At 45.1% G+C, this 14,768-nt stretch overlaps 8 protein-coding genes, 1 pseudogene and 1 further gene across 9 annotated transcripts in view; 1 reads left to right on the top strand and 9 right to left on the bottom strand.

Moving 5' to 3' along the window:
• Window positions 1-4,076, bottom strand: part of UGT1A3 (UDP glucuronosyltransferase family 1 member A3) — a 44,259-nt gene extending 40,183 nt beyond the window's left edge. Inside the window, exon 1 of the mRNA NM_019093.4 lies at window positions 3,125-4,076. Within this exon, the coding sequence (NP_061966.1) occupies window positions 3,125-3,991 (867 nt within the window). The 5' untranslated portion in view covers window positions 3,992-4,076. The remainder of the gene's footprint in view (window positions 1-3,124) is intronic.
• Window positions 1-14,382, bottom strand: part of UGT1A4 (UDP glucuronosyltransferase family 1 member A4) — a 54,565-nt gene extending 40,183 nt beyond the window's left edge. Inside the window, exon 1 of the mRNA NM_007120.3 lies at window positions 13,431-14,382. Within this exon, the coding sequence (NP_009051.1) occupies window positions 13,431-14,297 (867 nt within the window). The 5' untranslated portion in view covers window positions 14,298-14,382. The remainder of the gene's footprint in view (window positions 1-13,430) is intronic.
• Window positions 1-14,768, bottom strand: part of UGT1A (UDP glucuronosyltransferase family 1 member A complex locus) — a 187,861-nt gene that overhangs the window by 40,182 nt on the left and 132,911 nt on the right.
• Window positions 1-14,768, bottom strand: part of UGT1A8 (UDP glucuronosyltransferase family 1 member A8) — a 155,668-nt gene that overhangs the window by 40,183 nt on the left and 100,717 nt on the right. The gene's annotated exons all lie outside the window — the stretch shown is intronic.
• The window catches only part of UGT1A10 (UDP glucuronosyltransferase family 1 member A10), a 136,853-nt gene that overhangs the window by 40,183 nt on the left and 81,902 nt on the right, over window positions 1-14,768 (bottom strand). The gene's annotated exons all lie outside the window — the stretch shown is intronic.
• UGT1A9 (UDP glucuronosyltransferase family 1 member A9) overlaps window positions 1-14,768 on the bottom strand; it is a 101,403-nt gene that overhangs the window by 40,183 nt on the left and 46,452 nt on the right. The window lies entirely within an intron of this gene.
• Window positions 1-14,768, bottom strand: part of UGT1A7 (UDP glucuronosyltransferase family 1 member A7) — a 91,400-nt gene that overhangs the window by 40,183 nt on the left and 36,449 nt on the right. The window lies entirely within an intron of this gene.
• UGT1A6 (UDP glucuronosyltransferase family 1 member A6) overlaps window positions 1-14,768 on the bottom strand; it is an 81,599-nt gene that overhangs the window by 40,183 nt on the left and 26,648 nt on the right. The window lies entirely within an intron of this gene.
• The window catches only part of UGT1A5 (UDP glucuronosyltransferase family 1 member A5), a 60,394-nt gene that overhangs the window by 40,183 nt on the left and 5,443 nt on the right, over window positions 1-14,768 (bottom strand). The gene's annotated exons all lie outside the window — the stretch shown is intronic.
• RPL17P11 (ribosomal protein L17 pseudogene 11) lies at window positions 11,008-11,626 on the top strand (annotated as a pseudogene).

Here is a 14,768-nt window from a genome sequence, read left to right as displayed (position 1 = left end):
TAACAGACAAACAGAGCCAAACCATGAGTGAACTCCCATTCACAATTGCTACAAAGAGAATAAAATACCTAGGAATCCAACTTAAAAGGGATGTGAAGGACCTCTTCAAGGAGAACTACAAACCACTGCTCAACGAAATAAAAGAAGACACAAACAAATGGAAGAACATTCCATGCTCATGGATAGGAAGAATCAATATCGTGAAAATGGCCATACTGCCCAAGGTAATTTATAGATTCAATGCCAAACCCATCAAGCTACCAATGACTTCACAAAATTGGAAAAAACTACTTTAAAGTTCATATGGAATCAAAAAAGAGCCTGCATTGCCAAGACAATCCTAAGCAAAAAAAAAAAAAAAACAAAGCTGGTGGCATCATGCTACCTGACTTCAAACTGTACTACAAGGCTACAGTAACAAAACAGCATGGGTGCTGGTACCAAAACAGATATATAGACCAATGGAGCAGAACAGTGGTCTCAGAAATAACACCACACATCTACAACCATTTGATCTTTGACAAACCTGACAAAAACAAGCAATGGGGAAAGGATTCCTTATTTAATAAATGGTGCTGGGAAAACTGGCCATATGTAGAAAGCTGGAACAGGATCCCTTCCTTACGCCTTATACAAAAATTAATTCCAGATGGATTAAAGACTCAAATGTTAGACCTAAAACCATAAAAATCCTAGAAGAAAACCTAGGCAATATCATTTAGGCATAGGCATGGCCTAGAAGACATAGGCATGGGCCAGGACTTCATGACTAAAACACCAAAAGCAATGGCAACAAAAGCCAAAATAGACAAATGGGATCTAATTAAACTAAAGAGCTTCTCCACAGCAAAAGAAACTACCATCAGAGTGAACAGGCAACCTACAGAATGGGAGAAAATTTTTGCAATCTACCCATCTGACAAAGGGCTAATATCCAGAATCTACAAAGAACTCAAACAAATTTACAAGAAAAAAAACAAACAAACAACCTCATCAAAAAGTGGGCAAAGGATATGAACAGACACTTCTCAAAAGAAGACATTTATGCAGCCAACAGACACATGAATAAATGCTCATCATCACTGGTCATCAGAGAAATGCAAATCAAAACCACAATGAGATACCATCTCACGCCAGTTAGAATGGTGACCATTAAAAAGTCAGGAAACAACAGATGTTGGAGAGGATGTGGAGAAATAGGAACACTTTTACACCATTGGTGGGAGTGTAAATTAGTTCAACCATTGTGGAAGACAGTGTGGCGATTCCTCAAGGACCTAGAACTAGAAATACCATTTGACACAGCCATACCATTACTGGGTATATACCCAAACGATTATAAATGATACTACTCTAAGGACACATGCACACGTATGTTTATTGTGGCACTATTCACAATAGCAAAGACCTGGAACCAATCCAAATGTCCATCAATGATAGACTGGATTAAGAAAATGTGGCACATATACACCATGGAATACTATGCAGCCATAAAAAAGGATGAGTTCATGTCCTTTGCAGGGAGATGGACAAAGCTGTAAACCATCATTCTCAGCAAACTATCACATGGACAGAAAACCAAACACCGCATGTTCTCACTCATAGGTGGGAACTGAACAGCAAGAACACTGGACACAGGCCAGGGAACATCACACGCCAGGGCCTGTTGTGGGGTGGGGGACTGGGGGAGGGATGGCATTAGGAAAAATACCTAATGTAAATGACGAGTTGGTGGGTGCAGGAAACCAACATGGCACATGTATACCTATGTATCAAACCTGCAATTTGTGCACATGTACCCTAGAACTTAAAGTATAATAAAAAAAAAAAAAAGAAAGAAAAACTGGAAGGGCAACAGTCACTATTTAAATGCCATCCCACTTTTCAACATTTTTACAAATCTAAATAAACACGTATTTTATAATTGAATAATTACATTGCATAAAAAAATCATGTCGTTTGATCAAAAAGAAAAATGAAGCTTAGAGTCTTTTGCAATAATACCTACATTTATAAAAAAGGCACAGAAATAAGAATACAAAAGGATCTAAATCATGGAAGTTCATACACATTCGGTGAATATGACATAAAAAGGCTGATTCTCTCACGATGTACATGGCACAGCAAGGAATAAGAAACAATATTCAGGTCCCAGAGTACCATTTCAACGAAACCCAAATATTCTGGATTAATGAAAGCTGCCTCTGAAATTTTTGGTAAAGGAGTAGATCCCACTATAGAAACCTGGAGTGCAGTAGGGTGGGTTTGGTGATGTGATGAGCCTCTCCTGAGAAATGCTTCCCTTCTTGGACGCATGTCCATTCATCACTGTCCCCAGCTTCACTGGGCTTATAGATTCACAGTCTTATCTCCTCCCTAGCCCCTTCCGCCATTTCTTGATAATTTCAGCATTCCAAGTAGAAGAATCATTTGAGATGCAACCATTACTTTGCCTTCCGAACTCTGAGATGTCCCCACATCATGCACCAGACCCCAAATCCTGACCAGAAAATCTCTTGACAGCACAGATCCCTGTCTGGAAACTGAACTTCGTGTGTCATTCTCTAATCACAGACATCCATCCCAACTTCATTGCCCCACTTCCACTGAGTCAACCTCTCTGACACTTCTATTTCATGTGAGTGCCTAGGTCTCCTGTGGTCACCTGTCTATCATTTGCAAGATGGGACAACTAAAAATTATCATGTCAACAATTGTAATTTACTGTTGCATCATCTTTCCCCTGAAAATCATGCTAGCAAAAAATCCAGGATGGATCAGTTCCAAACGTAGTGTCCCTGTTCCTGCCAAGCTGAAGGACATGCACAACCATGAAGATGGTGCCTTTACAAACCAACAGTCTCTATGAGTCACACCAGTCCTTGTCCATCCTTTTACAAACATTCGTGTCTACTTCCTCTTCCTCTCAGTGACCATTTAAAACCTGAAATACGCTACTAGAGACCCCTTAACAGTTTATCTCACTGAAGGCTATTATGACAAGGAGAAGCAGAAATGAAATATTTGGAAAGATAAGTAAATATGGAAGCAATTTTAAATAAATACATTTTTTTAAAAAGTGTTTTGCCTGGAACATTGATTGGATGAAGGCACCAATACAGACCTGAGATAGTGGCTTCCTGTTGGCACAGTTGATGCCCCCAATGAAGACCATGTTGGGCATGATTGGCCTGGGGTAGTCCATCACAAAGTCCCCTCGGAACAGCCACACAGATGCATGACTGAGAATATCCACCACTGACACCTCTCTCTGAAAAAGCTCAGAGGCAAGGCTTGCATAAGGAGCAGAAAAAGCATGGCAAATGTAGGACAGGGCCAGAGGGTAGAGCATGTTCTTGACCCTTTGCATGAATGTCATGTGGTCTGAATTGGTTGTTAGTAATCTAGGAATATAGGAGGAAGGGTTTGGACACTGTGTGCCCTTAAAGTCTAAATCACATGGAATGTTCCTCAAAAAAAACACAGTAGGAATCGACAGGTACTTAGCCAGCACTGCCGCGCAGAGGTTAACGGGGTCTGTTAAAACCACATCAAAGGAAGTAGCATTCAGGTGCCTGATCAGGGCCTCATTATGTAGTAGCTCCACACAAGACCTATGATAGACCAAAGACATATTGTTCAACATTGCCATACTTCTGAAAAATTTCTTCAGAAAATGTTCTGTTTCAAAGTACAGTTGAGTGTGGCCCAGCACATGGCGATCAAATTCATCCTGGGTCCACGAAATGGCATAGGTTGTCAGGGTGAAAAAGTTCTCTTCTTTGATGTGCATATTCACCTCTGGGGTGAGGACCACTGCCTGGTGGCCTCTGGCATGGAGCTCCCGCAAGACCTCCCGCATGCTGAGCCAGTGGCTGCCATCAATGGGCACCACCAACACCTTTCCACTCTCAGCCCAGGGCTGGACACTGAGGAGAAGCAGCAGTCCTGTGGCCAGCCACGGCAGGGGAACCTGGAGTCCTGTGGCCATCTCAGCAGAAGACACGGACAGCTGACTGTCCACCCCACGCTGTGCCTGCTACATTTGCTTTCTTCATCTTAATTACCTTGTCACTGAGCCACTTAGCAAATCAACGTGTAATTGGAAGACAGAGTGCCCTCCTCTAGTTAATTATTAACCATTAATCTATCACTGTTTTTCACTGTGGGCCCCACCCTGGAAAAGACCGATCATGACTATCTTGAAAAACACGTCTGACCCTGTGCTCACTCTGGGGAACATCCAAGTTCAAGCTCTTGTTTCTCATCCAATTCCCAACACAAGGCTGTGAACACCCATTTCATGTCACTGTCTCCTACTTCTCTGTTAACCATGTTTATCAGGCAGCAGCTGAGGTCTGAGGAGTCACCATTGCCCTAGCCCCCAGTCATATGCTCTCTGCTGGATGTGACCCTATTTGCTAACCCTTGAAACTTTCTTCTCATGTATGAGTAACGCAGCGCATCCAAAAACCATACAACATTGCTAAGCCAGCTTTCTCTGAACAGCGTGGAGGCTGGCTATGTGGTTTTGGTCGTTTTTCGCACCAGGATATTTCTTGTAAGGATCAGAGAGGACTCTCTCTGAAGTGGCTGTCAATATAGAAAAAGCTGCAGGGAGGCTGAGCTCAAGATGTGATGATCAGATTCTTGGGAAGACTTTGTTGAGGATTCTCCATATACACCATGGAAGAAGAGGTGCTGCTATCTAAAGCACACATGGGCAAGACAACCCTAGCAAAGACCCATGGTGGGTTCAGGGAGCTCCTGCTCACCAAGGGACTGGGGGAGCTGGAGCCTGGCCTCAGATCTTGCACAGTCTGAATTCCTCTTCTGAATGCCGAAGGCTCCAGTCTTTATTTCAGTCATCCAGGCCTTTATTTCATCCTGAAGATTATGGTCAGGCTCTTCTCCAAGTCAATCCAGCACCAAGTTCTGATAAGAATGGTTCCTCCAGAACAGAATGGGCTGCACAATTTGTGGGGGCCCTAGTCCAAATTTCAAGATGGAGAATTAAATATGTGCCTTTCTAAAGGAGAGACCCTGAGCACTCACAAGGGCCTCAAGCCCAATGAGGCTTATCCTACTCCAGAAAGTCACTCCCACATGTGCTGTGCTCACAAGATTGCTGATGCCACCTTGTCCTGGTCACCTCAGGATGATGTGGGCAGGCTGTCTGGGGTGTGCACTTTCTATCTCACTGCCCCTGTGTCTTCTTGCCTGGCCGTGTCTGCCATTGCTGGTGAGGCTGAGGCTTCCCTTAGGGAGGAAATTACTCCACATTGATAACAGATTCCACCTTTGGACAGAACCCATGGGACAGGCAGTGAATGGAAGCGTCTACTGGGGGACACCCAGCTCAAGGGCAGCACACGCAGGATGGCACAGAAAAGGAAGGTCTGCAAGGGCTTTGGGAACTGTCCAGTAGAGGATGATTCCTGGGAATTTGTAAGGACATAGAGCACTAGAAAGGGATTCTCAGCTGTGGGTGCAACCTCTCAGCCTCTGAACTATTCCTCCAACCCCCTTAAAACTATATGCTTCCTAAGCACCCTCATGATGAGCCCAGGTGACGGGTGGAACACGCCTGGTAGTGTGCTCTTCCCACATTCATGGGCTCCCATGTTCTACCTCCAAGTAGTAGTGTTTTATTTAGACAGTGAAGTCATCTGATTTCTTGTCACATGTCTGGGACTCCCAGACCCTGAGGAGGCCCATGTATCTTGGAAGACGGTGGTACTCCAGAGACCTAGGGGCCCTAAGGATAGCAGAACTATGGGGAGGGAGGAGCTCCTGGTGCCTGGGAAACAGAAGGAGCTGCCCAAGTCATCAGCTTCCAGGGTCTGGAGATGAGGAGGGGTCTGGGCTGCACAGATAGACTTGGAGCCATCCGCATATGTGGAAGCCATGGGTGTCAGTGAGGTCACCCCAGCAAAGTCCAGAGACAGAAAAAAGCATCCTGAAAGACTGACCTGTGTGGTCTTGTTCCCCTCTGCCAATCTCACAGACCTAAACACACAAACTGGAATTCTTTAATGTTTGTAAGAGAACACAGAAACTAATCTTCACATCTTGGGGTAAAGATTCCTTAGGGTACAAAAACAACAAATGATAAAACTTTGCTAGAAAGAACCTCATCAAAATCTAAAACTTTTGCTCTTTGAAAGGTATTGTTTTTTAAAAATGAAAAAAGGAAGATCAGGAAAAAAGGAGATAATTGAATGGTAAGCTGATAGCTCTGAAGCCTGGAGAATAGAAGACTATGGAGAAAAGGAACAAAAATTAAATTTAAATGGTCGAATAGAGGAAAACCTCCAAGCCTTGAATAAGATGTGGGTTTCACTTTAAGCTTAGTGTCTGTGGTAGGCAGAATCACAGCCCCACAAAAGTATCTACATTGTACTTCCTCAAACCTGGGAATATGTTCCGTTACAGGTGGAAGAGACTTCACAGATATGATTAAATTAAGAGTTTTAAGATGGGGAGATTGTCCTGGGTATCTGGGCAGGACAGTGTAATCACAAGGGCTCTTACAAGTGAAGGAGACAGGCGTAAGAGTGGGAGACTTGAAGACGCTGCACTGCATCTCCCTAAAAGTGGAAAAGTACCATGAAATTCCAAAATTAATAAGGAAAAAGGAAATTTCTGTTAAAGAAATGAGCTTACATTCAGTGGAAAGAATAAGATTAAGAGTGGACAGAATCAGAATGCTGACATCAAAAGACTATGAGATGGAAGCAATTTTGGTTTTTGTTGTGTTTTAAATAAATAAATCAAAAAACCACAGGTGCTGAAACTCCTGAGCTCAATGATCCTCCCACCTGAGCCTCCCAAGTACCTGGGACCATAGGCGCATGCCACTGCACCCAGCTTTTCATATTGGAGTTTTAAAAAATGTTTTCTAAACTTTTTAAACAAGATTTCCATATGCCAAAGAAATTTTTATTTTTTTGAAATGGGGCCTCACTCTGTCACTCGGGCTGGAGTGAGGTGGTGTGAACATGGCACACTGCAGCCTCCACCTCCTCGGATCAAGTAATCCTCCTGCCTCAGCCTCCTGAGTAGCTGGGACCACAGGTGTGCGCCATCACACCTGGATAATTTTTTGATTTTTTGTAGAGATGCAGTCTCAGCACGTTTCCCAGGCTGCTCTCAGACTCCTGGGCTCAAACAATCCTCCTGCATCAGTCTCCCAAAGGGCTGAAATTGCAGGTGTGAGCCACCCACCTGCCTACAAATCATTTTCAAATTAAAAGAGATGGGGAATTGAAAAAATAACATAGGAGTAGCAATACTGGTATCCAATAAAATGGATTTTAAGGATTATTATTTAATGATAACAACAAACTATGTGAAGAAAATGTAAGTCTCTTACAATGTTTACATTTGTAAACATTGACCATATGGTAGTCACTAACTACATATGACTATTGAGCACTTGAAATGTGACTATTCCAAATTGAGATATGCTGTAAATGTCAGATATATGCTAGATTTTGAAGACTTAGCAAGAAAAAACTATGTCAAATAGTTAAGTCATAATCTTATATCGAATATATGTTGAAAGGATAATATTTGTGATATGTCTGGTTAAACAATGCCTTAGTAAAATTAATTTCAGTGGTTTCTTTTTGCTGGTTTCTAACATGCCCACTAGAAAAGTTTAAATTATGTATGTGGCTTACATTATATTTCTATTGGACAATTCTGTATTAGACCATCAAGGTAACCTATTAAGAATTTTTTAAGTAGTGTCTTCATAAGAAACATTCTTATTGGACTTAAGATTGTTGACCAGGCGCCTCTGCCTCTGCCTCTGCCTCTGCCTCTGCCTCTGCCTCTGCCTCTGCCTCCTCTGCCTCTGCCTCCTCTGCCTCTGCCTCCTCTGCCTCTGCCTCCTCTGCCTCTGCCTCTGCCTCTGCCTCTGCCTCTGCCTCTCCCCACGGTCTCCCTCTCATGCAGAGCCGAAGCTGGACTGTACTGCTGCCATCTCGGCTCACTGCAACCTCCCTGCCTGATTCTCCTGCCTCAGCCTGCCGAGTGCCTGCGATTGCAGGCGCGCGCCGCCACGCCTGACTGGTTTTGGTGGAGACCGGGTTTTGCTGTTTGGCCGGGCCGGTCTCCAGCCCCTAACCGCGAGTGATCCGCCAACCTCGGCCTCCCGAGGTGCCGGGATTGCAGACGGAGTCTCGTTCACTCAGTGCTCAATGGTGCCCAGGCTGGAGTGCAGTGGCGTGATCTCCGCTCACTACAACCTACACCTCCCAGCCGCCTGCCTTGGCCTCCCAAAGTGCCGAGATTGCAGCCTCTGCCCGGCCGCCACCCCGTCTGGGAAGTGAGGAGTGTCTCTGCCTGGCCGCCCATCGTCTGGGATGTGAGGAGCCCCTCTGCCTGGCTGCCCAGTCTGGAAAGCGAGGAGCGTCTTCACCCGGCCGCCATCCCATCTAGGAAGTGAGGAGCGCCTCTTCCCAGCCGCCATCACATCTAGGAAGTGAGGAGCGTCTCTGCCCGGCCGCCCATCGTCTGAGATGTGGGGAGCGCCTCTGCCCCGCCGCCCCATCTGGGATGTGAGGAGCGCCTCTGCCCGGCGAGACCCCATCTGGGAGGTGAGGAGCGTCTCTGCCCGGCCGCCCCGTCTGAGAAGTGAGGAGCCCCTCCGCCCGGCAGCTGCCCTGTCTGAGAAGTGAGGAGCCTCTCCGCCCGGCAGCCACCCCATCTGGGAAGTGAGGAGCGTCTCCGCCCGGCAGCCACCCCGTCCGGGAGGGAGGTGGGGGGGGTCAGCCCCCCGCCTGGCCAGCCGCCCCGTCCGGGAGGGAGGTGGGGGGGTCAGCCCCCCGCCCGGCCAGCCGCCCCGTCCGGGAGGTGAGGGGCGCCTCTGCCCGGCCGCCCCTACTGGGAAGTGAGGAGCCCCTCAGCCCGGCCAGCCACCCCGTCCGGGAGGGAGATGGGGGGGTCAGCCCCCCCACCCGGCCAGCCGCCCCGTCCGGGAGGTGAGGGGCGCCTCTGCCCGGCCGCCCCTACTGGGAAGTGAGGAGCCCCTCTGCCCGGCCACCACCCCGTCTGGGAGGTGTGCCCAACAGCTCATTGAGAACGGGCCAGGATGACAATGGCGGCTTTGTGGAATAGAAAGGCGGGAAAGGTGGGGAAAAGATTGAGAAATCGGATGGTTGCCGTGTCTGTGTAGAAAGAAGTAGACATGGGAGACTTTTCATTTTGTTCTGCACTAAGAAAAATTCCTCTGCCTTGGGATCCTGTTGATCTGTGACCTTACCCCCAACCCTGTGCTCTCTGAAACATGTGCTGTGTCCACTCAGGGTTAAATGGATTAAGGGCGGTGCAAGATGTGCTTTGTTAAACAGATGCTTGAAGGCAGCATGCTCGTTAAGAGTCATCACCAATCCCTAATCTCAAGTAATCAGGGACACAAACACTGCGGAAGGCCGCAGGGTCCTCTGCCTGGGAAAACCAGAGACCTTTGTTCACTTGTTTATCTGCTGACCTTCCCTCCACTATTGTCCCATGACCCTGCCAAATCCCCCTCTGTGAGAAACACCCAAGAATTATCAATAAAAAAATAAATTAAAAAAAAAAAAAAAAAAAAGATTGTTGACCAGGTGCAGTGGCTCACACCTGGAATCCTAGCACTTTGGGAGGCTGAGGCGGGTGGATCACCTGAGGTCAGGAGTTCGAGACCAGCCTGACCAGTATGGTGAAACCCCATCTCTACTAAAAGTACAAAAATTAGCCAGGTGTGGTGACGTGTGCCTGTAGTCCTAGCTACTTGTGAGGCTGAGACAGGAGAATTGCTTGAACCTGGGAGGCAGAGGTTGCAGTGAGCCAACATCGTGCCATTGCACTCCAGCCTGGGTGACAGCAGGACTCCAACTCAAAAAAAAAAAAAAAAGTCAGTTTTGACTTTTTTTACCACATGGACCCTTCTATGGTTTGGGCACTGAAACTAAAGCAAATGGTGGAAGAAGAATTGGTACTGTACAGAAACATTTTCAGAGAAATGAGAAAGGAAAAAAGTCAAACAAAAATGATGATATATTTCCATAAAGTTACACCGAGTGTGCCTGCCTCTCCCGCTGGCCCTTCCACCTTCTCATCCTCTTCTGCCTCTGCCACGCTGAGACAGCAGGACCAATCCCTCCCCTTCCTCCTCCTCCTCAGCCCACTCAGCATGGAGACAATGAGGATGAAGACCTTTATGATGATCCACTTCCACTTAATGAGCAATAAATTTATTTTTTCCTTCAAAAAAAAAAAAAAGAAACATTCTTATTATAATACAAAATAACTTGAAAAAATAAGAGGGAGATGACTACAAAATTATTAACAATATCAGAATTAGGTAACAGCCTTATAGACAGTCACTGCATCAAAGGAGAAATTTAAAAACTGATATTTAAATTATCTAAAAGCAATGAAAAGAACAGCAATTTTTACCAAAACCTAAGTAAAAGAAATCTTTTACTCGAGCCCTCAATGCTTCATTAAGAAAAATCAAATGTAAAGAAGTGTAATAGTCCTCTAACGAAGTTGCAAAAGCAGCTACAAATCAACCAAAAGAAACTAGGATGAAATCATTAAGGCAAAAATAAGCTGCAATTAACGAAACGGAAAATGAAACAGTGAAAAGAATATACAAATTCCACAGTTATTTCTTTGAGAAGACCAATCAAATAATTCAACCTATCCATAAACTTTAAATCAAGGAGAAAGAGAGGGAGAAGAAACGTAAGATTTCAACTTTAGTCTTGTATATTTGTAGAAAAATTTCAAATCTAAGGGTCAACCAAACCAAGTAAGTAAGGGTGACAAAATAACAAAGGAAATCAATGTAATAAAAATGATAATGGCGTGTCTGTCACAGATAATACATGATAAAGATTTTGGTGTAAATGATCTTTCATGCACTCAGTAAATTGGCACGAACATGGCAAAGGTCTCCAGGTGACACATCTTGTCCTGCAGGAGTCTTAAACTCTACTAATGATGATGATAGCTCTTCCTCTAAGAGGCCTAAGGTGATCTGTGAAAATTCTTCTTTATTCACTTGACCCAGAAACACCACAAAATCATGCAATTCAAGAGGTTTCAGTTTTCCTGTTCACTTAAAGGACATTCGTGAAACTACCCAGGCCATCAATGTATGCATATACAAAGAGCCACCAAGTGTCTGAAGGATGTCACTTTATGGAAGCAGTGTGCACCATTTCGATATTGCAATGGAGGGGCTGGCAAGTGTGCCCAGGGCCGAGCAGTGGGGCTGGACACAAGGTCGGTGGCCCAAATAGGGTGCTGGATTTTTGCTGCATGTGCTTTAAAATGCAGAGAATAATGCTAAATATAACAATTTAGATGTAGATTCTCTCATCATTAAGCTTATCCAAGTAAACAAAGCATCCAAGATGAGCCATGCGTCTTGCAGAGCTCATTATTGGATTAACCCTTACATGACCCCCCACTGCCACATTCAAGATGATCTTTACTGATAAGGAACAAATTGTTCCTAAACCTGAGGATGAGGTTGCACAGAAGAAAAAGATATCCCAGAAGAAACTGAAGAAAAAATTTACCTATGGCTCTGGAAGAAATTCAGCATAAAATAAATGCAATTAAACTAAAATAATAAGAATGATAACAGATAATATTTATTGGGTGCTCACTATAACAACATTAAAACCACAATGCTTAGGGTACCTGTCCTAGGTCACATAGCTAGAAAAATGAGAGTGAAGATTTGAGCCAGTGCAGTTCAGTCTAAAGAATATATTCATAGTGAAAAACCACAAGAAAAGAGCCACAATCACTATTCAAATGCCTTCCTAATTTTCCACATTTTTACAAAGCTAAAGAACATATATATTTTTTACAATTCAGTAACTACATTGCATAAGGGGAAAAGAAAACCAGTAGAACAAATATCTTGTGGTTTGATCAAAAACAAAAATAAAGTTTAGTGTCCTTTGCAATAATACCTACACTAATAAAAAGAAGTACAGAAATAAGAATACAAAGGACCTAAACTCATGGAAGTTCATATAAATTCAGTGAATATGACAAAAAAGGGCTCAATTCTCTCACAAGAAAGATGGCTCCCTCACTGGGCTTGGTGGCTCTTGCCTGTAATCCCAGCACTTTGGGAGGCCGAGGCGGGCAGATCACATGAGGTCAGGAGTTCAAGACCAGCCTGGCTAACATTGCGAAACCTCATCTCTACTAAAAAAAAAAAAAAAAAAATTGCCAGGAGCAGTGGCACATGCCTGCAGTCCCAGTTACTCAGGAGACTGAGGTGGGAGAATTTCTTAAACCCGGGAGGTGAAGGTTGCAGTGAGCGGAGATCCGGCCACTGCCCTCCAGCCTGGGCGACAGAACGAGGCTCAGTCTCAAGAAAAAAAAAAAAAAAAGGATGGCTCCCTTAATGGATTTAGAAACCAAATTCATTGGTGTGTGAATTTGGTTTTTCACATCCCAGAGTACTATTTCAATGAAACCCAAATATTCTGTATTAATGAAAGTCACCTCTGAAATTTTTGGAAAAAGAATAGATCCCACTATAGAAACTTGGAGTGGGATAGGGTGAGTTTGGTGATATGATCAGCTTCACCTGAGAAACACTTCCCTTCTTGGACACATGTCCATTCATCACTGGTCCCAGCTTCACTGGGCTTATAGATTCACGGTCTTATCTCCTCCCTAGTCCCTTCCACCCACTCTTGATAATTTCAGCATTCCAAGTAGAAGACCCTTTTGACATGCAACCATCACCATACCTTCCAAACTCTACGATGTCCCCACATCATACACCAGACCCCCAACTCCTGGTCAGAAAAACTTTTCTCAGGACAGATCCCTCTCTGGAAACTGAACTCCATGTTTCATTCTCTGATCACATGCATCCATCCCACCTTCACAGCCCCACTTCCACTCAACTGAGTCAACCTCTTTGACACTTCTACTTCCTGTGAGTGCCTAGGTCTCCTGTGGTCACCTCTGTATCTTTCGCAAGATGGGACCACTAAAAATTATCATGTCCACAATTCTAATTTACTGTTGCATCACCGTTCAGCTGAAAATCAGGCAAGCAAAAACCCCAGGATGGATCAGTTCTGAATGTAGTGTCCCTGATCCTGCCGAGCTGAAGGACATGCACAACCATGAAGATGGTGCCTTTACAAACACTGTCCGTGAGTCACAGCAGTCCTTGTCCATCCTCTGACAGACCCTCATCCGTGCCTCTTCTTCCTCTCAGTGACCACTGAAAACTTGAAATACACTAGGCCCCTCAACAGTTTATCTGTTATAAAGAAGCCAAAATAAAATCTTTGGAAAGATAAGTAGATATGGAAGCACTTGTAAGTAAATACATTTTTTAAAAAGTGTTTTGCCTGGAACATTGATTGGATGAAGGCACCAATACAGACCTGAGATAGTGGCTTCCCGTTGGCACAGTTGATGCCCCCAATGAAGACCATGTTGGGCATGATCGGCCTGGGGTAGTCCATCACAAAGTCCCCTCGGAACAGCCACACGGATGCATAGCTGACAAGATCCACCACTGACACCTCTCTCTGAAAAAGCTCAGAGGCAAGACTTGCATAAGGGGCAGAAAAAGTATGGCAAATGTAGGACAGGGCCAGAGGGTAGAGCATGTTCTTGACCCTTTGCAGGAATGTCATGTGGTCTGAATTGGTCGTTAGTAACTTAGGAATATAGGAGGAAGGATTTGGACACTGTGTGCCCTTAAAGTCTAAGTCACATGGAATGTACCTCCAAAAAAACACAGCAGGAATCGACAGGTACTTAGCCAGCACCGCCCCACAGAGGTTAACGGGGTCTGTTAAAACCACATCAAAGGAAGTAGCATTCAGGTGCCTGATCAGGGCCTCATTATGCAGTAGCTCCACACAACACCTATGAAGGGCCAAAGATACATTGTTCATAATTGCCATACTTCTAGAATATCTCTTCAGAAGATGTTCTGTTTCAAAGAACCCTTGAGTGTAGCCCAGCGTAACGCGATCAAATTCCTTCTGGGTCCATGGAACAGCATAGGCTGTCAGGGTGAAAAATTTCTCTTCTTTGATGTGCATATTCACCTCTGGGGTGAGGACCACCGCCTGGTGGCCTCTGGCATGGAGCTCCCGCAAGGCCTCCCGCATGCTGAGCCAGGGGCTGCCATCAGTGGGCACCACCAACACCTTTCCACTCTCAGCCCAGGGCTGGACACTGAGGAGGAGCAGCAGTCCTGTGGCCAGCCGCGGCAGGGGAACCTGGAGTCCTCTGGCCATCTCAGCAGAAGCCACCGACAGCTGACTGTCCACCCCACGCTGTGCCTGCTACATTTGTTTCCTTCGCCTTAATTACCTTGTCATTGAGCCACCTAGCAAATCAGCATGTAATTGGAAGACAAAGTGCCCTCCTCCAGTTACTTATTACCCATTAATCTATAACTGCCTTTCGTTATGGGCCCAACCCTGGGAAAGACCAATCACGCCTATCTTGAAAAGCTCATCTGACCCTGTGCTGCCTCTGGGGAACATCCAAGTTCAAGCTCTTCTTTCTCATTCAATTCCCAACACAAGGCTGTGGACACCCATTTCATGTCACTGCCTTCTACTCTGTTAACCATATTTATCAGGCTGCAGCTGAGGTCTGAGGAGTCACCATTGCCCTAGTCCCCAACCACATGTTCTCTGCTGAATGTGACGCTATTTGCTAACCCTTGAAACTCTTTCTTCTCATATGTGAATAACACAGCA

Source organism: Homo sapiens, chromosome 2 (assembly GCF_000001405.40).
Source record: "Homo sapiens chromosome 2, GRCh38.p14 Primary Assembly".
In the NCBI taxonomy this organism is placed as follows: Eukaryota; Metazoa; Chordata; class Mammalia; order Primates; family Hominidae; genus Homo; species Homo sapiens.
This window is presented reverse-complemented; position numbering and strand designations above follow the sequence as displayed.